General features: G+C 45.2%; 2 protein-coding genes across 47 annotated transcripts in view, besides 3 other annotated features; one reads left to right on the forward strand and one right to left on the reverse strand.

The window, feature by feature from the left end:
• The window catches only part of ASAP2 (ArfGAP with SH3 domain, ankyrin repeat and PH domain 2), a 198,867-nt gene extending 195,439 nt beyond the window's left edge, over positions 1–3,428 (forward strand). For all 20 annotated transcript variants that reach the window (XM_011510403.4, XM_011510407.3, XM_011510404.3 and 17 more), the window contains one exon: positions 1,003–3,428. In XM_011510403.4, the coding sequence (XP_011508705.1) occupies positions 1,003–1,077 (75 nt within the window). In that variant the 3' untranslated portion in view covers positions 1,078–3,428. The remainder of the gene's footprint in view (positions 1–1,002) is intronic.
• ITGB1BP1 (integrin subunit beta 1 binding protein 1) lies at positions 1,225–21,319 on the reverse strand. 27 transcript variants are annotated; one of them, NM_001369749.2, is made up of 8 exons: positions 21,028–21,278; positions 17,740–17,850; positions 16,376–16,482; positions 11,928–12,006; positions 10,019–10,155; positions 5,863–5,955; positions 5,199–5,348; positions 1,225–4,655 (listed from the first exon to the last, which is right to left on the reverse strand). In NM_001369749.2, exons 3-8 carry the CDS (start codon positions 16,445–16,447, stop codon positions 4,584–4,586), a joined length of 603 nt encoding a protein of 200 aa, NP_001356678.1. In that variant the 5' UTR covers positions 16,448–16,482; positions 17,740–17,850; positions 21,028–21,278; the 3' UTR covers positions 1,225–4,583. The 27 variants fall into 27 exon arrangements, 20 of the variants coding, with proteins under 20 accessions (NP_001356678.1, XP_016860756.1, NP_004754.1 ...); XM_017005267.2 differs by lacking the exon at positions 21,028–21,278 and adding an exon at positions 20,229–20,410 and having other exon boundaries at positions 16,568–17,850; NM_001369746.1 differs by having other exon boundaries at positions 3,431–4,655; positions 21,123–21,319.
• Positions 19,729–20,587: an enhancer, noted in NCBI's record as "H3K27ac-H3K4me1 hESC enhancer chr2:9562108-9562966 (GRCh37/hg19 assembly coordinates)". NCBI's record gives its function as "activates a minimal SCP1, AML or CMV promoter by ChIP-STARR-seq in primed H9 embryonic stem cells {active_cell/tissue: H9 hESC(primed)}" and the evidence as "EXISTENCE:reporter gene assay evidence [ECO:0000049][PMID:30033119]".
• Positions 20,581–20,630: an enhancer, noted in NCBI's record as "active region_15276". NCBI's record gives its function as "activates an Ori minimal core promoter by ATAC-STARR-seq in GM12878 lymphoblastoid cells {active_cell/tissue: GM12878}" and the evidence as "EXISTENCE:reporter gene assay evidence [ECO:0000049][PMID:35858748]".
• Positions 20,771–21,070: a silencer, noted in NCBI's record as "silent region_11133". NCBI's record gives its function as "represses an Ori minimal core promoter by ATAC-STARR-seq in GM12878 lymphoblastoid cells {active_cell/tissue: GM12878}" and the evidence as "EXISTENCE:reporter gene assay evidence [ECO:0000049][PMID:35858748]".
• Positions 21,320–21,363: the final 44 nt, after the last annotated feature.

Genomic DNA, 21,363 nt, shown 5'->3' on the forward strand with positions numbered 1-21,363 from the left:
TCTCAGGGCCAGGCAGCACTGCCTTCATTTGGCAGAGCTGGGTTCACCGGTCTTTCCTGTGGCCTCGTTTGCCCTTAATGGATTGAAAGTGTCTGTGGCCTGGGCGCGGTGGCTCACGCCCATAATCCCAGCACTTTGGGAGGCCGAGGCAGGCGGAACACTTGAGGTCAGGAGTTCGAGACCAGCCTGGCCAACATGGTTCTCTACTAAAAATACAAAAAATTAGCTAGGTGTGGTGGCAGGCACCTGTAATCCCAGCTACTCGGGAACCAGCCAGCTCCCACAGTTGCCCACAACCCACCATCCGGAAGGGGCGCCAACCTGACCACAGGCTTAGCCATGTGGAAAATACCTGCTCATTTCCAAAACTGGAAAATAGAGGCATAAAGAAGAAAACAGAAGTTGCCCATAACCACAGCACCCCCCACCCACTCCACAAAAAGCCCACCATTCATATTTTGGCTGTTTTTAGCCTTTTATTTGCCTACATCATTTACACTCTTGAGATCATATTTGGATATAATTTATGTATCTACCCAAGAGGGAACATAAGTGGATAGAGTGAAGCCTTCCACAAGTACTTAACTCATTGAAATGGGGCCAACTTATACCTTTGCCACTTTAGGTGACGTTGCAGCTCACAAACTTGTGACACTCAGTTCATTCATTCATTCATTCATTGAAAAATGGCAAGTGGGAAGTAGTGGTCAGACAGCTGACCTGTGTGCCTCCCAAGAACAGGTGGGGGTGGCCATCCCCACGAGCGAACATCTGGGACATGGCTGGGAAGAGCTCCTTACACGGGAGAGGCCTGCACTATTTGAAATGTGGTGAGGAAAAACGGACAAAAATCATTTGGATGTTTTACCTAAGTAATTCCTTGTCGGAAGAGTCTTCTGAACCAATCTTGCTTTTCTTCACCAAACGCTCTATGTAATGCTCTTCAAAGTTTCCACCAACATTTGGAATTTTAATAACAACCTACACTTTTCTCCATTTCAGATTGGCCACATTGATGGAGATCCTGGTCGCAAAGGCGCATTCCCGGTGTCATTTGTGCACTTTATCGCTGACTGAATTGCTACTGAACAAAAGCATTAACAGTTATGTTCCTGTTTCGTTATTGGTACCAAAACTCTTGCCAGATAACCAGTTTCATGAACTGTTTGTATGGCAGCCCATGTTCTCTAATGCCACTGCTCTGTTTTAAAAACTCAGAGGCAATTTTTACATATCAGTAATTGTTTTTATAATTTGTGGTTTTCATGAAACATTGCTATGCATTTATTAGGAAAAACTGAATTTCCCAACAGGTGAACTGAAAAGTTATTTTAACTATTATACATAATCAAGATCCTGCCTCTACGGAATTAGCTAAACCTAAAAATGTTTGCATTAATGAATAAATTCTTCCTGCATTCCTTGGCCCAGTTCTGGAGTTGGTGACCTTTATCACAATTATTATTTTAGGCGGCCAGTGAACTGCTGCTTCAGAAGTCCATAGCCCAGCTCTGAACTTTCTCGATAAAATGCCATCAGTTCACCTTTAAAGACACACATTCCTTTGAAATCCACCCAGTGTTTAAAAAGCAACTTGGAAATTTACACATTAGCATTGTACTTTCTAGCCCTAATTTGTGAGGTTGCAGCTATCATTATATTCTGCATGTATGTATAACCTGTTGTGAACAATCATACTTAACAAAACTACTGATGGTTTATGACAACGTAGGGTAACTACAGTTCATTCTGTTCCAGGTTATATAAAACTGCATTTCCTGAATTTGGTTAAAAACTAAGGATGATGGATTGCAAAACAGTTCTTTTAAATTAGTTTATATGCTTTAGGTGTTTTGGAATTTGCCTTCTTGAACTTCCTGAGTCACACAGAAAGCAACTGTACACAGTAGAATTCTGTGGCGCAGACCATGCTGTATTAACACATCACTTGCTGTTTCCTACTGAGTGTACCACTGCCTTCCCTTCTAGCCCAGGAGAATGTTTACTCAGTTTAGTGTCTTGTATTTCTATAATACTCCAACAGGAATGGTAGTCACACTGTCTTGAAATTGAATCTGTCCATCTGTTTATAATCAAGAACATATCAGAAATATATAGGTCCCAGGTAATACTCCCAAACATCCCACTTTTTACTGTTTCAGGCCATCATATCATTCTTAAGCTACTTGGGGTGGTAGTAGAGGATTAGGTTGTCTATTATAAAACCAAAACTCATTCGTTTAATGAACTTGACTGTCATACCTCTATTTAGTAATTGCGAGGGTAAGATTCATAGTAGGAATATTGGAAATTTTGGCACTCTGAGAATAAATAGGCATATGATACCCACTTGGACTTTTAACAAAAGTAAAGGAATAAATTTGCATATAGGCTTGGAAAGTGAGGCAGCAATGCTGTTAACTGCATTTGTTGTGATGGTGCATTTGATTGAAGCAGCTTGTCTTTATTATGCAAGACTGTGTAGAGTTTTTTTTTTTTTTGGCATTGTACTTTTTGTTTTTGTTATAAAGGAAGACAGAACAAACTGGAATGTTTTATGATGTTGTATAGCAATCGCTTTTTACCTTTCAAAGTTCCGGGTAAAAATGTGTTATATCTGTAGTTTTTTGTTTTTGTTTTTTTTTAAAGCACTACATCTGTTTTCACTAATTGTTAATTTCTGTTTGAACCCTTCATTTAATTTTCTCATAGATTTAAGTAAACAGATGTATTTTGCACAGTGCACTTATGTCTATTTTAACAATCCTCCTGCATCTGTATTTTATAGTCAGCCTTTTGACCACCTGGTGCCAGCTATATAAGGAATAAAGTTGATTCATATCAACATTAGAACTCCAGTCCCAAACTAATCTGTCAGGTTCACTGGTACATAAATACCTAGGAAATATTTTTCCAGTCTACAATTTGGTGCTATTGTGCAGTAACTAATAGTACTCTTACCAGAGGAGAAATTATATTAACGACCCTGCTAATATCCTTTCTTAGTTATTTGCTCCTTGCAAATTAAAAAAGCAACTAAGAGAAAGAAAAACATTGTAGATATCTATTTATATTTAAAGTTTATGTTTCATGAACTGCAGCTGCAGGATTCTGGCATTTTGCATGCCATTCTCCATCAGATCTGGGATGATGGCTCAGAACATGTACACAGACTAAGAGTAACTGTGTGATCTGTTAAGGGGTGGATAACATAATATGCAGCTTAGGATGCTATTTTGAGATGTATGATATTCAGTTCATTCACCTGATTACTTTGGTTGCAGCACAACTGTATATATTGTATAACCGAAATTGATTATTTTCATTGTCCTTAATGCAGTGATTTATAATTAGAGCATGTTTAATAAGTTTACTCTTCTTGTTAACTAGTCATTTGACTGGAAAAAAATAAAATACTTTTAAATGGACATGGTTTTATTTTTAATGTTTTTAATCTTTAAAGTTTTGTATATTGACAGTCCTTTAAAAAAAGTACACTATCATACTGTACATGGGATCTTTACATACTTTTAGCATGAGCGGTAATCTTTTAAGGTTCTCTTAACTCTAGGAATTGTGGTTGGCCAGCATGTTATCTTGACCAGACACTTCTGAAAATCTGCTTTGTGTGTCTTAAGTTGGCAATGTCACTGTTCCAGACCAGCATGAATCCTGGTCTCCAGTCCACACCTCTGCCGGACAGAGGTCCATGCCAGTGATACCATGACTGGGAAGCCACCACTGAGCCCATGTCCTCAGTCTTCCTCAGGCCTTCAGTGTGTGTCACTGAGTGGACCTCTGTGACATCTCGTCTTCCTCAGGCCTTCAGTGTGTGTTTGTCACTGAGTGGACCTCTGTGACATCTCGTCTTCCTCAGGCCTTCAGTGTGTGTTTGTCACTGAGTGGACCTCTGTGACATCTAGTCTTCCTCAGGCCTTCAGTGTGTGTTTGTCACTGAGTGGACCTCTGTGACATCTCGTCTTCCTCAGGCCTTCAGTGTGTGTTTGTCACTGAGTGGACCTCTGTGACATCTCGTCTTCCTCAGGCCTTCAGTGTGTGTTTGTCACTGAGTGGACCTCTGTGACATCTAGTCTTCCTCAGGCCTTCAGTGTGTGTTTGTCACTGAGTGGACCTCTGTGACATCTCGTCTTCCTCAGGCCTTCAGTGTGTGTTTGTCACTGAGTGGACCTCTGTGACATCTAGTCTTCCTCAGGCCTTCAGTGTGTGTTTGTCACTGAGTGGACCTCTGTGACATCTCGTCTTCCTCAGGCCTTCAGTGTGTGTTTGTCACTGAGTGGACCTCTGTGACACCTAGGCTTCTGTGACACTTAGGTTAAGCTTATTAGAAGTTGAAAAAGACAAATGAAGTTTTTTAGCCCAGAAAATAGATGACTTCATTGAGAGTTAACTCACTGTGTAATAGGACACATTTTAATAAACAAATGATCAGCATTTTACACAATCCATTTTCTTCAGAAAATCTAGAGCAAGGGATAACTTCATTATTTGCATAACATTTCAGCATTGCAGTTTGAAAACAGCTGAACTTTCAGATGAAGTTGACTTCTACTTGATTGCAGGATTCAGGGTTTCTCAGATGTTAATACAGAGTCAAAAGCGGTGGATAAAACCTTGCAAATGGCTTGTGCTTGTTCCTACATTACATGAAAGATAGAGTAAGAGCAACATTCATCTGTCTCTTCGTGAACTTAATTTGGCTAGCAGAGGCACACACCTGACCCTCTTAAGACCTCTCCTAAGCAAGCCGACCACACATGCCTGCCTGGGTCAGTGGAACCCATACTATGAGCTTCCCTGCACGTGGGCCCTTTCTGCCCTCCTTCAGAGGAAAGCAAACAGCGACTGCAGCCTGCAAAGGCTGATCACGCAGTCTAGGAGGGCAACAACGTTCGGAAATGGAAGAAGCCTTCGGCCCCTGGAGGATACATTTTTCCTCAGCTGCTTTGTTTACCTTTTAAATCCCGGCACAAGCGAGTGCTGCCACTGGCCCTAACAAATATTTCACAAACCTGCACTGTCTTGCCAGCCGGCTGACCTCCGGCCTAATATTCATTCACTATCCCCAGGCCAAGATATTCCATATATAATGGATTGTATTTCTTCAGCCTTCAAAAACAGTAGTCCCTGGGTGTTGCGACTTGATGGGCAAGCAGCTAACCAAAGTAACGAAGTCTCACCAGGCTGTTGCACTGATAAACCCACAGGCTGTATTCCTCATTGCTTGCATCTGTGGTCTTCAGAGCCAGTAAGCTTTTTCCCGCCCCCAGACCGTCATCGTAACACACCATCCGGATTATTAAGTAGAGAGCATGCCTGTGCAAAACATCCTGCAGAAGTCAGGAAAGATTCCGAGAGATCAGGACTCTCAAATGTTTGTCAGTCCTGATGACACACCCTCCCAGGCAGAGTGAGGCTTGAAACAGCATATCCATAGGTTTCTCACCCCAAGGGATGTCCTGTATGCTCAGTCTCGGGCAATGCCTTCAGATCCCAGCAAGCCAGGAGTGCAGTGATCTAAACTGACTATCCCAGTGTCTGTGCCCACCGTCCAAGCTGACAGCTGCTCTTAATTGATGAGGGGCCCTTAGTTGAAAATGCATTCGGAGCCATCTGTGTGTTTGGGGGTGGGGGGGGCAGGTTGCATGGGCCCTTCCAACACAGGAGAGAAAAGGAAGCCCCTATTCACCTTAAGAAATTGGTCACGTTTAAGACCAACTGCCAGGAATGTTTACAAACCAATCACTCTGCAAACAGGAGTGGCCCTAATTATAAGGGGGCTCTTAATGGCCTGAATTCCCTGTTATCTAAAACATAGTTTTCTTAATAAATTATATTACTTACATATTGATCTGATGTTGATACTTTTATGCCATACTTGGAAACTCCCATAATAAATTCTTCCTCCGGAGGAACAAAAGGCAACTTTCCATCTTGCTTTAAAGTAAAAATAAATTCCATGATAAAGATTAAAATTACATAATAGTCTTAAGTCTGACTAGTCACTTTGAGTATCTGGCCATCGCAAGCCCAAACCCTTTAAAGAATGTGGGGTACACATTAGCCAGGCAAGAGTCTCTCTCCCAGAGGCAGAAGAAACATTTCCCCCCATTTACAAAAAGGTTATTTTTATTTTTGAGACAGAGTCTCACTCTGTCGCCCAGGCTATAGTGCAGTGGCATGATCTCAGCTCGTTGCAACGTCTGCCTCCTTGGTTCAAGTGAGCACATCCGGCTAATTTTCGTATTTTTAGTACAGATGGGGTTTCATCATGTTGGCCAGGCTGGTCTCGAACTCCTGACCTTAAGTGATCCACCCACCATAACCTCCCAAAGTGCAGGGATTACAGGCATGAGCCACCATGTGGGCCAATTTATTTATTTTTAAATCGAGGTGGGATCTCACTATGTTGCCTTAGGCTGGTCTTGAACTCTTCTTGGCCTCAGGTAACTCTCCCAAGTTGGCCTCCCAAAGTGCTGGCATTACAGGCATGAGCCACTGTGCCCAGCCGCATTTTTACAGCCCACAACTCTGAGCAAAATTCACATCCATCCCTTTCATGCATATTGTTTGTCTTGGAGTTAATCCTAATTACACACTGAGCTGCTTCTCACAAAACCTGCTGATGTTAAAATACCTACATGAGAAAAATGAAGATCTTCATTTCCACAGCATAGACCAGTGTTAGCGTGTGGGATGATCAGGAAGCAGAGCCCACATATCCTGCCCAGATGGGAAGGCGTGTCTGGTGATGCCACGCCTCAGGGCTTCGGGCTGGCAAGTGCTGCTGATGAGCAGTTACTCCACTCACAAAAACATGAATTGGGGTTTTCAGCTACTCAGGAACCGCAGATAATCCCTGACAGCTTCCCTGGCGGACGATCCGGTCTCGGCTCCCAGACCGGAATACCACCTACTTCGTCTTCCCTAACGTAAGACGCTGTTGGCAACCTATGGATGTTCTGTACTGTCAATGGTTTTGTGGAACCACTCGCCCACATTAAAGACATTACAGTAAATAAGCTGCATCCCAATACCTTACTTCTTGGGTCCTCACAATGTTACAGTACCCGCTTGCCAATCGCTTCCCACAGTGGGTTTAAAGCAATTCCAAGAACCACGGTATGGGATAATAGTCAAGCTATTGTCAATACTGGAATTTTAGCAAGCAAAAATTCTATGGTGATATGAGAAATTTAGTAGTCCTTATAGGAATGAAAATAATGCTAGTGTATTTTTGAGGGGAAGAATTATTAATCTTTCAGTACAACACTTAGACTGGTTGTAGCTTTTATGGTTAAGACCACACTGAACGTTGCGGCTCGTTCTTGGAACTACAACTTTAAGCGAAATCACGCATATAACAAAACCATTTTTTTTTCTCATCAACATCATAAAACATTATAACAAAATGACCTTGAAAAACGAGTTACTTGGAGGAACTAATCTAGGTGGTTTTCCAAGAACCAATCAATGAGGTTACGTGAGGACTTAATGTAGTTTGTTGGAATGACTTTATATTCCCAACTAAATGCTGGAAAGTAATTATACTTGTCCAAACTACCGTGAGTTCTTTTTTTTTTTTTTTTTTTTGAGACGGAGTTCTGCTCTTGTTGCCCAGGCTGGAGTGCAATGGCGCGATCTCGGCTCACTGCAACCTCCACCTCCTGGGTTCAAGCGATTCTCCTGCCTCAGTCTCCCGAGTAGCTGGGATTACAGGCATGCGCCACCACACCCAACTAATTTTTTTGTATTTTTAGTAGAGATGGAGTTTCACCGTGTTAGCCAGGATGGTCTCTATCTCCTGACCTCATGATTCACCCACCTCGGCCTCCCAAAGTGCTGGAATTATAGGCCTGAGCCACCGCGCCCAGCCCGAGTTCTCTCTTAAATGGCAATTTAGATTCACTGATGTCCTTCAGACAGAAGTATCTTCCTTTACTTTCATAAAGATATGAAACTTCATTTCAGGTTTTTTTTGAGACAGTCTTACTGTTCTGTCACCCAGGCTGGAGTGCAGTGGTACAATGATGGCTCACTGCAACTTTGACTTCCTGGGCTCAAGGAATCCCCCTGCCTTGGCCTTCTGAGTATCTGGGACTACCAGTGCATAACACCACACTCAGCTGATTTTTTAAAATGTTTTGTAGAGATGGGGGTCTTGCCCAGGCTGGTGTTTTGTTTTGTTTGAGACAGTCTCACTGTGTCACCCAGGGCTGGAGTGCAGTGGCACAATCTTGGCTCACTGCAGCCTCTGCCTCCTGAGTTCAAGCAAGCAGTTCAACCTCAGCCTCCCGAGTAGCTGGGATTATAGGCATGCACCACCACACCCAGCTAATTTTTGTATTTTTAGTAGAGACAGGGTTTTGCCATATTGGCCAGGCTGGTCTTGAACTCTTGGCCTCAAGTGATCTGCCCCCCTTGGCCTCCCAAAGTGCTGGGATTACAGGCATGAGCCACTGTACTCAGCAATTAAAATTGTTTTTTTTGTAGAAATGAGGTTTCACTGTGTTGCCCAGGCTGGCTTTGAACTCCTGGGTTCAGGTGATCCCCCTACTCTGCCTCCCCCAAAATGCTGGGATTACAGACGTGAGCCACCATGCCCTGCCACGCTGTATTTCATATTCTCATTCTCTGTGATTTAAGAGAGTACACATTCTTAACACTCTCTGAAGTTAAGGAATCTTGGTATTGCAGTTAATATCCCTCTTTTAATGCGCACATAAAAATGTAATTTCATTTTCTAGAAACTCCAGAAGCAATTTACTTTCTTTTTTTTTCTCTCATTACCGAATTCACTCTTTTGGCTCATGTACTTCCACCATTGGCAAGGGTACAGATTTTATAACATTTCACGTTTATATATCTTATACTTTTGATTTAATTTTCATTCTTAATTTTCCTTCATGATGATGATTTTTTATCTTCTTGATTTTATCTTTTTGAAACCCACCTCATCTCAATTCTTGTTGGAAACCTTGCATGAATAAACAGATATGTTAGGTGGACATCATTATGAATTAGATTATTGAGAGACAGAACTGGTCTGATGGTGGTACGGTAAGGTTTTGCCAGATTATTTTAAAAGAAGAATCTATGGAATATAACCAGTCACCGCAACCAGCTCCTCATTTAAATAGGATTGATCAGCCCCATAAAAAAGTATTAATAGGCCGGGCACAAGGGCTCAGGCCTGTAATCCCAGCGCTTTGGGAGGCCGAGGCAGGTGGATCAGGTGAGGTCAGGAATTCACAACTAGCCTGGGCAACACAGTGAAACCCCATCTCTACTAAAATACAAAAAATTATCTGGGCCGTGGCAGCATGCGCCTGTAGTCCCAGCTACTCAGGAAGCTGAGGCAGGAGAATCGCTTAAACCCGGAAGGCAGAGGTTGCAGAGAGCCGAGATTGCACCACTGCACTCCAGCCTGGGCGACAGACCGAGACTCCATCTCAAAAAAAAAAAGAAAAACAAGTATTAAAAAGTACTGTGGGCCGGCCACAGTGGCTCACGCCTATAATACCAGCACTTTGGGAGGCCAAGGCGGGAAGATCACCTGAGGTCGGGAGTTCAAGACCAGCCTGACCAACATGGAAAAACCCTGTCTCTACTGAAAATACAAAATTAGCCGGGCATGGTGGCGGGCGCCTGTAATCCCAGCTACTTGAGAGGCTGAGGCAGGAGAATTGCTTGAAGCCGGGAGGCGGAGATTACAGTGAGCCGAGATTGCACCACTGTACTCCAGCCTGGGCAACAAAAGCGAAACTTGGTCTCAAAAAAAAAAAAAAAAAAAAAGTACCGTGTTTGAAGGGAGGAACAGCGCCTGTGTTCCCATGCAGCTCAGCGCTCACGCACATGTGCGGTGGTGATGCGGGGACTTCAGTCGAGAGCAAGCGGAGCGGCACCCAGTGGACCCGAGGAGTGAGCATTTTGCCCCAAAGCCATGAGTTGGCTCCCCAGACTCTCATAACCAGAGAGTTACGGAATTTTTTTTTTTTACCTGGGCAACGTCTATATAATTTATCAGGTCTAATGGCCCTTCAAGGCCTTTTCCCTCGGAGAGTTTCAGTTTCTCAATGGCACCAACATATTTTATTCGAAATTCTGCACAGGTATCTGAATTATTGTTGCTTTGTCCTGAAGATGAAAGAAAAGTGGTAAGACTTAAGAAGAAATATCTGCATTACAGAGTATCCTCAGTCCCTTCCCAAATAAAAACCAGACTGTCATTAGAACATAACCACTAATTACAAATTTTATAATACACAATATTTTTATGTAATGGGGAAGAACTTAAAATTTCACTAACCTTTTCCTCAGTGACTCATGGTATACTAAATATAGTATACAAAGGTCTCAATAATAGGAATAAATATATTAACCTTCCCTTCAAAACAAACAGTAAAGAAAAGGTTACTACATAATGATTACCTTTATGACGCATGGTATTTACTTTTGGTTCTTTCTCCCTCTTCACCATTTTTTTTCCCCTTAGAGAGAGGGTCTCACTACGTTGCCCAGGCTGGTCTTGAACTCCTGGGCTCAAGCGATCCTACCATCTTGGCCTCCCAAAGTGCTGGAATTACAGGCATGAGCCACTGTGCCTGGCCTACCATGTTAGCTTGCTTTCCTCATTCAGGAAGCCTACTCTTCCTCTATCGTTCCATCAGAAAGACCACATAGTTTGTCTTTTTAATGTCGATGGAATAATGCCAGGCAGAAATTCTCTTAACGTAACAGCAACGGTTGAAGAGCTGTGTGTGCCGCAACATCCAGCCAACACAAAAACTCCTACAAACGACTTATAACCTCAACCATATTAAGGAAATACTATATGATTACTTTTAGGTTATGTAACAAAAAGATGTCCACAACTTTCATAATTTTAAAGGCATCTGGCAGGAAAGACAATGGACCTAATGCTCCAACATTTTCTGTTACAGATTCACTAGGACAGGTTCCTGAAGGGAGAAAGAGGAATTTAGACAAGAAAATGAATATATTTCCAGTTAGCCGCCAGCTACTTAGGGAGCTAAGGTTAGAAACCACCTCTTGATTTCTTTTTTTTTCTTTTTTTTGAGATGGAGTCTTATTCTGTCACCCAGGTTGGAGTGCAGTGGTGCGATTCTCAGCTCACTGCAACCTCTGCCTCTGGTTTCAAGCAATTCTCCTGCCTCAGCCTCCCAAGTAGCTGGGATTACAAGCATGCGCCACCACGCCCGGCTAATTTTTTGTATTTTTAGTAGAGATGGGGTTTCACCATGTTGGCCAGGCTAGTCTCAAACTCCTGACCTCAGGTGATCCACCTGCCTTGGACCCCCGAAGTGCTGGGATTACAGTCGTGAGCCAACGCACCCAGCCTGTTTCTAAGATCTACTAATTTCGGGCAGCTGCATAAATATCTACAAGGGTCTGGGACAGATCCTCCCCTTAATTACTTGTGTTGGTGGTGGTCATGAGCTGGTGAATCTCTGGGTTCCTTGGAGTAAATGAAAGGCTCCTTAGCCCTTTAATCACCAAGATATTTGCCCTATTCCCCATAGACAACATAAGTCCAATGGAATTCATCTTCTGCCACCCCATTTCTTTCCATTTTATTTTTAATTTTTGTGGGTACATAGTAGGTGTATGTATTTATTGCCACCCCATTTCTTAAAAAACTATTTTGAAACTTCCATTTTGCCCATGTGCCTGTGCCAATCTCCAAAGGCTATGTGGTTTCCCCCAATCACACCACACCCTCAGCCCACGTCCCGCCAAATCTTGGTCCACTTCTAAACTCTTGTCAAAAGTGGCAAAGGAGAGGAAGAAAGCCACAAATACTGAAGAACTCATTGTGCTACCCCAGTAAAACCACGTGAACATCAATGAAAAGCGCAGACAATCAATGATCCAACCCTTTTATGTACCTGAGCTTTTGGTGGAATCTGTGTCGAGGCTGGCCACAGTGCTGGATCGTGAAAGACCCCCAAGGCTAGAATCCACAGACTGAGAAACAGAAAAACAAGTAAAAAACCTCCACTGAAGCAGCCCTGTCTTCTCTAAAGTCCTCTAACCCATTCACATCATTTATTAGAGTTGAGCTGACACATACAAAACCATGTCAATTATTCAGGCATATCGACTGTGCAGATTTTTCTTAAGACAAATTCTGTAACAAACTTCAAAAAAAAAACCACATAATCCCAACTGTTCGTTCGTCCCATGACATAATATCGGATAAATGCGGTGGCAATATTCTTAGTCGATTTAAATCGAAGCCATTACCGCCACCTCCTTACAAGATGCCTTCTATGAATATTCTTGCGAACATCTCTGCCTTGCTTTCACATGAGTTCCACTGAACCCAAAACAAACCCTGTGCAGAAAGCCAGGCAAGGACCATGATCCCCGCTTACTAAATGAGGAAGGAGACTGAGACTTTAGTGACTTATCCAAGGTCACATCTAGTAAATGGCTCCAATCTCAAACCTAGGTCTCTAATTCTAGGTCTCTGGTCCAGTGCTTCTGCAATTATTCTGACTAGTGTCTGGCCTGCAGCAGGAATTCAGAGGCTAACTGGCAGGACAGAGCAGACTATCATGTGAACTGCCACCAAAAAAACAACAAAACTGTTGAGCAAAATAGAATCACATGTAAAGGGAGTTGTTCCTCAGAGCTACACTCCCAATTTCTTTAGAAATAATAGTCTCTGGCCGGGCACAGTGGCTGACACCTGTAATCTCAGTACTTTGGGAGGCTGAGGCGGGTGGATCACCTGAGGACAGGAGTTCGAAACCAGCCTGGCCAACATGGTGAAACCCCGTCTCTACTTAAAAAAAAAAATATGGCTGGGTGTGGTGGCTCACGCCTGTAATCCCAGCACTTTGGGAGGCTGACGTGGGTGGATCACCTGAGGTCAGGAGTTCGAGACCAGCCTGGCCAACATGGTAAAACCCCGTCTCTACCAAAAATACAAAAATTAGCTGGGCATGGTGGCGGGCACTTATAATCCTAGCTACTCGGGAGGCTGAGGCAGGAGAATAGCTTGAACCCAGGAGGTGGAGGTTGCAGTGAGCCAAGATCACGCCACTGCACTCCAGCCTGGGCAACAAGAGTGAAACTCCATCTCAAAACAAACAAACAAAAACACACACACAAAAAAAAACACAACAATACAAAAATTAGCCAGGCTTGGTGGCACATGCCTGTAGTCCCAGCTATTTGGCAGGCTGAGGCAGGAGAATCGCTTGAACCCACAGGCAGAGGTTGCAGTAAGCCGAGATCACACCACTGCACTCCAGCCTGGGCGACAGAGTGAGGCTCCGTCTCCAAAAATAAAAATAAAACAAGACATTGGGCCACACAGATGAGATTTCCCTGTAGGGTCCCCACGCTTAAGGCTGAGGAAGTGGCAGTAGGGAGGTTCTGTGTTGAGCAGCTCCAGGAGTTCAAAAACTTCCAAGAACATGGTTCGTTTCCCCATTCTAAGGCTGCACAGGACTCCTACAATGTCAGCTTTCTGTGCTTCTGGTTACAAGGCCACCAGCTCAGCTGAGATAAGCCAGCTTACCCTGCCCTGACTGGAAACTGAGTGGCAGTCGTGTGTCTTTGTCTCATTCACATGTGGCTGTTATTTAACAGCGTGGCACATGTGGCACATGGGAGGCCCGGCAGGCACCCGGGATGAAAGGTCTAGGGAGGCATCTCCTGAGGGGGCCTTGTGCGACCCTGCGAGACGCCTCCTTCTGTGCTGTGCCTCACCCCGGTCCTGGGACTGAGTGAACACACAACTTTAAAATTAGAGCATTCGCAAGGGTGGAAAATCATGAAAAGGCTGTTGAGTCACGGCATCCCATCCCATCCCACTCACTCACTCATTGACCCGACTCAGCCTCCAGCTTCCTGCCTGTGCCTGGGATGTCTAACCCCCTTCCTCATTTATGCCTATTTGACCCGTATATTTTAAGGTCTCATTCACTACCTGCTTTTTTTTGGGAAGACTTCTGTGATGGTTAATTTTATATATCAACTTCTCTGGGCTAAGTACCCAGATACTTGGTCAAATACAAGTCTAGACATTGCCGTGAAGGTGTTTCTTTAAATGAGATTAACGTCTACACCAGCAGACATGGAGTACAGCAGAGGACCCTCCACCGTGTGGGCGGGCCTCATCCAAGCAGGTGAAGGCCTTAAAGGAAAATGACTCAGGCTCCCAAGGAGAAGAGTCTGCCTCCAGCTGCCTCCAGGCTGCCTTTGGGCTCAAGCTGCCACTCCCACTCCCACTCCCAGGGGTCTTCAGCCCGCCCTGCAGATTGCAGACTTGCAGCCCCCACAGTCACATCAGCCAATTCTTCAAAATAAACCTTGAAAATACATCAAAATCTCTAGGATATAAACACATCCTACTGGTTCTCTGGAGAACTCCAACTAATACGACTTCCTCCACAACTTTAGGCCTACAACCTCCCCAGTCTCTGAATCCCTCAAGCAGTATCTGTCATTACCTCACGCACCTTCATGTTTTCTGAATTATTCACTGTCTCTGGGTGTCAATCATGTCTCAAATGGTATCTGGCATCCAGGTAGAAACACCTGGAATGAATCACTTTTTCTGCCTCCCACAGCACCTGGTATGTTAAGGGTTTAAGCTTCGATAACTCTCTTTTCCTCATACTCCACAAGCCATCATCATCGATCCATGGGTCCCATGAGTGCCACCTCAAACTCTCTGCAGAACCTGAGGTTTCAGCGCTTCCTTCACACCCCGTCCAAGCCCCCATCATCTCTCAGGTTCTTACCACATCCTCCCCGGCAGTCTCTCTGCTCCTGCCCTTTCCCTGCTCACAGTGGCCAAAGTGACCCCCAACAAAACTTATATAATATTCTGTCACTCCCTGGCCCCAGGCGCCCCCTGCTTTACTCTCAGAGTAAAAGCCCAGGTCTTCACAACACCTGCACCTGCCTCGCCCAGGCCACGCTGGTCTCCCTGCTGTCCCCCAAACACACAGGCTCACTCCTCCCATGGGCCTTTGCTCTCTCCTCTCCCTAAACTGCGATCCTTCCAGATCTTATCATGGCCCCACTTCTCCTGTAGGCCCCTGCTCAAATGCCACCAAGAAAACAAGGCCTTTTCTCGGGAGGAGGGGCAGAAAAAAATAAATAAGACCTTTTCTTTTCTTTTTTTTTTGAGACGGAATCTTGCTCTGTCACCCAGGCTGGAGTCCAGTGGTGTGATCTCAGCTCACTGCAACCTTCGACTCCTGGTTCAAGCAACTCTCCTGTCTCAGCCTCCCAAGTAGCTGGGACTACAGGTGTGTGCCACCACACCAGGCTAATTTTTGTATTTTTAGCAGAGATGGGGTTTCACCATGTTGGCCAGGTTGGTCTCAAACTCCTGACCTCAGGTGATCTGCCTGCCTTGGCCTCCCAAAGTGCTGGGATTACAGGCATGAGCCACCGTGCCCGGCCTGAAAATAAGACCTTTTCTACCAGACTGTTGAATACTGCCCCTCTCCCAATCTCCCACCCCCTCCATTCCTGTAGTTTCTTCCCCCCGTGTTAGTTTCCACCATCTGAAACTCTATATTTTACTTATTTATTCATTATTTTCTCCCCCAACTGAAATGGAAGCTCTGAGGCCAGGAATTTCTTCCCTCTCCCTAACTGCTCTATTTTATGCCCCTTAAACAGAGTTTGGCACACAGCCATGCTCAACAAATACTCGGTGAATGAATGAGTGTTCACGTGCCATTGTCCAGGAGGTAGAAATAAAATTGCCATTCTTCTAAACACCAACAAAATTGGTGTCAAAAACCTAGAACAAATATAATGCAGCTATCTTTATACTCTTATATTGAAAAATTATCTGTCAGTCAAAATGAAATCACTTTATTACTTGAGACAAAAGTTGCCAGTTGAATAGCTCCTCAACGGTTTGTTTTGCATGAATTAAATCCACGCTTACCTTCCAACAGCATTCAAAAACTCTCTGGTATACAGCTATCTGCCAATCTCACTCTTAAGTAAAAGTAATTATGCACACCACAAACCCTAGAATTCAAGAGGCCCAGCCCCTTAATGCCTGCAATTTCTATCATTTAAAAATTTTTTAAATCAGTGCTTATTTCAACGAAACCATTCATAGGTCATGTCCCATCTAGTTTAATGGATTTAAGAATTTCAGAAAACCTACCAGAACAGACAAAATGAAGCCAAGCATAGAATGCATCTCTAGTGCAAAAAGTAAATGTTAAAACACACTAGTTTGAAGATTATCAGGAGATCTGCCCACGGTCAGTATCCTCCATACAATATCAGCTAGAAGAAACAAAACTCTCCCTGCTTTATGATTCTGTTCCAAATTCCATTTCCCTACCTTGCTCTTAGTACTGATTTCGCTACTTTGGGAACTGCTACTACTGTGTCGTTTTTTGCCCTTGCGAAACATTTTTCACCACCATTGCTTGATCCAGAGAAGATCCCCTGAAAAAACAAATATTGGTAACAGTTACATCGGGAAAAGCAACTTTTTTTTTTTTTTTTTTAAGAGACAGAGTCTTGCTCTTACCCAGGCTGGAGTGCAGTGGCACAAACATGGCTCTGCAGTCTTGACCTCACACCTCAGCCTCCCCGAGTAGCTGGGACTACAGGCATGTGCCACTACACCCAGCTAATTTCATTTTTTGTAGAGACAGGATCTTGCCATGTTGGCCAGGCTGGTCTCAAACTCCTGCTCTCAGGCGATCCTCCCGCCTTGGCCTCCCAAAGTGCTGGGATTACAGCTGTGAGCCACCATGCCCAGCCAGGAAAAGCAACTTTGATATTGGTTACAGTTACATCAGGAAATGCAACATTAAATCACTTTATGCAAAATAGAAATAAAAATCATCAATTAACTTTTCCCTTGGATACTATTCCTTTTCATTCTTTCCTATTAAATTATAGAAAGTTAACCCAATAAGCAAAAAAGGCAGAAACCTTCTTGTCCTACAGGTGTGAAAAGCACTTTTCTCAAAATTTTCAGACACGTCACCTAGTTCTCAAAATTTTAAGGGCCTTACTTCTCTTCAATTGAGTCAAGATTTTAGCAAAATATACTATGACACATTGGCTTTTCAGTCGAGATACTAAGATTCAGTAACCCTCTCAGTTTCACATTCTATACTTGGTAGGGCTAAGATATACACACCTCTCAGAAATGTGCATTTTTCTTGAAGTTTTGAAATACCTTTAAGTAAAAGCTGACACAAAGACATTCCCAGGTGCCAGCACCTCACCTCCCCTCTCTATTAAGCGTAGTTAAGGAGATGACCTTGCCTCCCAGAGTCTGTGTTACATATTTCTTTTTTTGAAATTAATAATAATAAATGCATTGGAAACTAAGATTCATCCTTGCCAGTTGCATAAGGACAGCATATACTATACTTGGCAAATTAACTAACCTACATGAAGCTGCACAGCTCACAGAACTCCCGGGACAGTTCTACTGTCATAGCCTCATGATAACCTTGTGACATATCCATTTGCTCTACTGATGCTTTTTAAGGGCATACCATATGCCACACACTCTGCAGGGCTCTAAGCTCTCCCTCAAGGGGCTCACAGAAGGTGGGCTGTAATCTGCCTTTTACAGATGAGGGAACTGTGACCTGCCTCTCAAGACGATTTATGAATAAGATAACCTGATCAATTTTTTACCAAAAACTGTATTCTCCAGAGAGAACAAGAAAATCTGCTTACTATAGAATTGAACACTATTTGACTGTCTTCAAAGGTCCCACATACAGCGGTCTGCACAGAGAGTTTCCTTTCATTCTGACCTGGGTGATGCTTTTCAGAGAAACTACGCACCTGATGAAGGAAAAAGAACGAGCAACTCACGCAGCAGTCAGTGAAAGCTCCTGCTGCAACCCAAAGATTCTCCGTATTTGGAGACCCCACTCTAAGTCCACTTACTAGGGGACGACATTAGGCCACTTGCCCAAGTCTGACCACTGAGCCCAAGCTTTTTAATCAGCCTCATCATCCAATTTACTTCTATATTTTTGCTTTATTTGTGGGGTACCAGGAAAATCTGATTTATTCATTCATTCCTGGATAGTCAGTGAGCACCTACCAGGTGTCGGGGATGCATCAGTGAACCAAACAGAGCCCCTGACCTCAGGGAGCCTGTTCTTAGCGAGAGTAGACAGACCAACAAGAAAAACACACATGAAACATATTATTAGGAAACCACTGCTATGAGGAAAACTAACACAAGTTGAGGAGACACAGACTAATGGAAGGAAGGGGTGGGTATTTCAGAAAAAGATGCTGTAGCTCTTTTTCTGAAAGAAGTGCGGGCAGCCATAAATAGCCTGGAGGCAATGCCGTGCGGGTGGAGAGGGGCCCGAGGGAACAGTCAAGGCTGTCCGGGAGCAGGAGGACAGCAATGGGCCCAAAGTGCCACAGAAGGCCAGGCAGGCCGCGGTAACAGTGGACTTTAGTTTAAGAGGAATACTCTGAAGGCTTTTTATTTATTTTTTGCTTATCTGCTGTGATCTTCTGGAATGGAGGCTTTTAAAAAGCAGTTTAGCGACACAATCAGGTGTCTTCTGTTTTTTAAACGATGACCCTGGCTGCCAGATAGCGAACTAACTCCACTGGATAAGGGTAAAAAGTGAGAGATGTGTTGGAAGAAGACTGCGGGTGATTGCTGCAAAGGGGAACCTTACCAGCACAGGACACTTGTCAGTGAGAGATGGCAGGAGAGCCTTATTCCAAGGCCTGCACGAAACTAGGTTAACGTAGCAGCATAAAGTGCCATGTTAATGGCGCTCACGGGTTAAAATGTTGATGTGTAACATATTTAAACATCAGATACTTAAGTATATATAAATACATATTTATATATAGGTAACAATTTTAAATATGATTTGAATTTTAAATCAAAACTTATTTTAAAAACAAAATGTGATTCTACTGTCAGTGGAATCCTGAAGTGTCTCCTCAAATCCCTTGATATGAAAATCATGACACGACAATGCCTTAGCAACTCCTTAAGGCTTTCTTTTCATCATCAACCCAGCGGCTTAGGAAAAAGCAGCATTTATTAAAGTCTTTGATATCTGCTGCAATTTTGATGCATGTTCTCAAGCAAATCATTCTTGCCTCAAAATTATTCATGGGTGGCTCACGCCTGTAATCCCAGCACTTTGGGAGGCCAAGTCGGGCGGATCACGAGGTCAGGAGATCGAGACCATCCTGGCTAACATGGTGAAACCCCGTCTCTACTAAAAATACAAAAAATTGGCTGTGCGTGGTGGTGGGCGCCTGTAGTCCCAGCTACTCAGGAGCCTGAGGCAGGAGAATGGCGTGAACCCGGGAGGCGGAGCTTGCAGTGAGCCGAGATCGCGCCACTGCACTCCAGCCTGGACGAAAGAGCGAGACTCCGTCTCAAAAAAAAAAAAAAAAAATTATTCATGCATCAAAATGAGGCCAATGATCCTGATTGGCGATTGGATGCTCCGCAGGCTCATCAAATGCAAAGATGTCTCAAGCTGAACCCATCATCCTCCCCTCCAGATCTGCTCCTCTCCTCTCCTCTCCCTGTCAGGAGATTCTATTATTGCTGGAGGAAGCCAGAAAATCATGATTTCCTTGCTGTCCTTCAGGCCCCACATCCAATCTGGCACCAAGACCCACTGTATACCCCACCTGAAGAGCTCTCTGAGCCAGCTCTCCACCAGGGCCCCCGTCATCCTAAACCATGGGCACAGACACTATTTTTTTAGAAACTGATGAATGTGATGGATCCTCACCCTATAAAAATGCACATCCATACAAAGTTTGGCATGAATTTAAGGAATTCACAAACCCAAGGATATTTCGTGGATAAGGGACCTTGTCCTACTGGATTCCCTAACACTTTAAATCTACCCCCACACTGCAGCCAAAACGATTAAAATGATTTCTTTCAAACATGAATCTAATGCCACTAGCCTGCTGAAAATCTTTCACTGGTTCTCCAAAGTCAGAGACCAAAGTCAACGTTCTTCAGCACGACACGCCAGGTCCTCCAGGACCCAGCTCCTAATCACCTTTCCACTTCCATCCTCCACAACCCGGGCACAGTTCATTGATCTCAGCAAGGCAAAGCTGCTCCTGGTTCTCAGCGCGATGCTCCACGCGCCCCTGCTTTGCACCGCCCGGGACGTCCTTCACCTGTCAGGCACTTGGCTACTTCTTACCTTTCAAGGCCCGTTTCAGGCTGCAGGCCTTCCTGGGATCTCAAGGCTGGGGTAAGGGACCCACAGCTTGAGTGTACCCCCTGATCACAGCGCCACGATCTGCTGTGGTCTCTGATCTCACTCTCCCAGCTGCACGCTGGTCAAAGGCGGAGCTCGGTGACTCCTCTGCATTGCCAGGGCGCCTGGCAGGGGACGCGCTTACTGAAGCCGAGAACTTTCTGGGGAGGTGACACCCCAACAGCGATTCCCATGTACCAAACGCCTACCACGTGCCATGCACGGTGCTAGGTGCACAGATCCCTCTCACCCTCACCCTCACCGACCAGCAAGGCTGCAGGATAACAGCCCCTTTCAAACGAGGATGCCAAAGCGCCCGAAGAGTCAGTGACCTGCCCAGGGTCACCAGAGTAAGGACGGATGCGGCCAAGCTCGGGGCCTAGGGAGAGCCGGCTCCGAAGTTCCTCCCAGACGCCAGCCTGCTTGGCACCTGTCTGTCACCGTGATGGAGCACCTTCCAAGCGCTGGGTGCGGAGGATGTGACAGCGAAGGGGACAGACAACCCCGACCCTGAGAGGCGGGAGGCGGCCGAAGCGGGGCAGAGGAAGAGGCAAGGAAACGGCCCGCGGCCGCCCGCCTTGCCGCCCCTCCGGGGCGACAGCGGCTCGGGAAGCTGCAGTCCGCAAGCCCACGCCCGATCTGCGTGGTTCCAAGCTCCTCCACCCGCGCCCCGGGAGCGCGGCCCCGCCCGGAACCAAGCCCGAGCCCAGGCATCCCTCCTCCGCCCGCCCCGCGGCCCCACCCATCCTTCCTGGCCGTCCGCGCCGCTCTCGGGACCGTGTTCCCGTCAGGCCTCCGCGAGCTCGGCCCCAAGCGGGACGAGGGCTGGGCGCTCACCTCGCAGCCGCGGGCCCATCCCCGGGTTGCGGACTTCGGGGTCCGCGTGGGAGTGCCGCGGCCTTTGGCGCCCAGGCAGCTACTCCCGTTCCCGCTCCAGCGCCGGCTTTTCCAGCCCTCCTGCCCACGTCCGCCGGGCCGCGCCTCCAAGACTATGCGCAGGCGCAGTCCTGACGTCCTACCCCCGGTTCCAAGACCCCAAGTGGTGGGAAGCCTCGCGAGCGGCGTCCCCCGACCGGAA

Source organism: Homo sapiens, chromosome 2 (genome assembly GCF_000001405.40).
Source record: "Homo sapiens chromosome 2, GRCh38.p14 Primary Assembly".
NCBI classification, from domain to species: Eukaryota; Metazoa; Chordata; class Mammalia; order Primates; family Hominidae; genus Homo; species Homo sapiens.

Bases quoted from the DNA above. Each gene is read 5' to 3' on its own strand.
- ITGB1BP1 (NM_004763.5), bottom strand. From the start codon at position 16,447: ATGTTTCGCAAGGGCAAAAAACGACACAGTAGTAGCAGTTCCCAAAGT. The intron at 12,007-16,375 runs GTAGGGAAATGG...TCTGTTTCTCAG, and splicing joins AAATCAGTACTAAGAGCAAG to TCTGTGGATTCTAGCCTTGG. The intron at 4,656-5,198 runs GTGAGACTTCGT...CATGTAATGTAG, and splicing joins TTTATCAGTGCAACAGCCTG to GAACAAGCACAAGCCATTTG.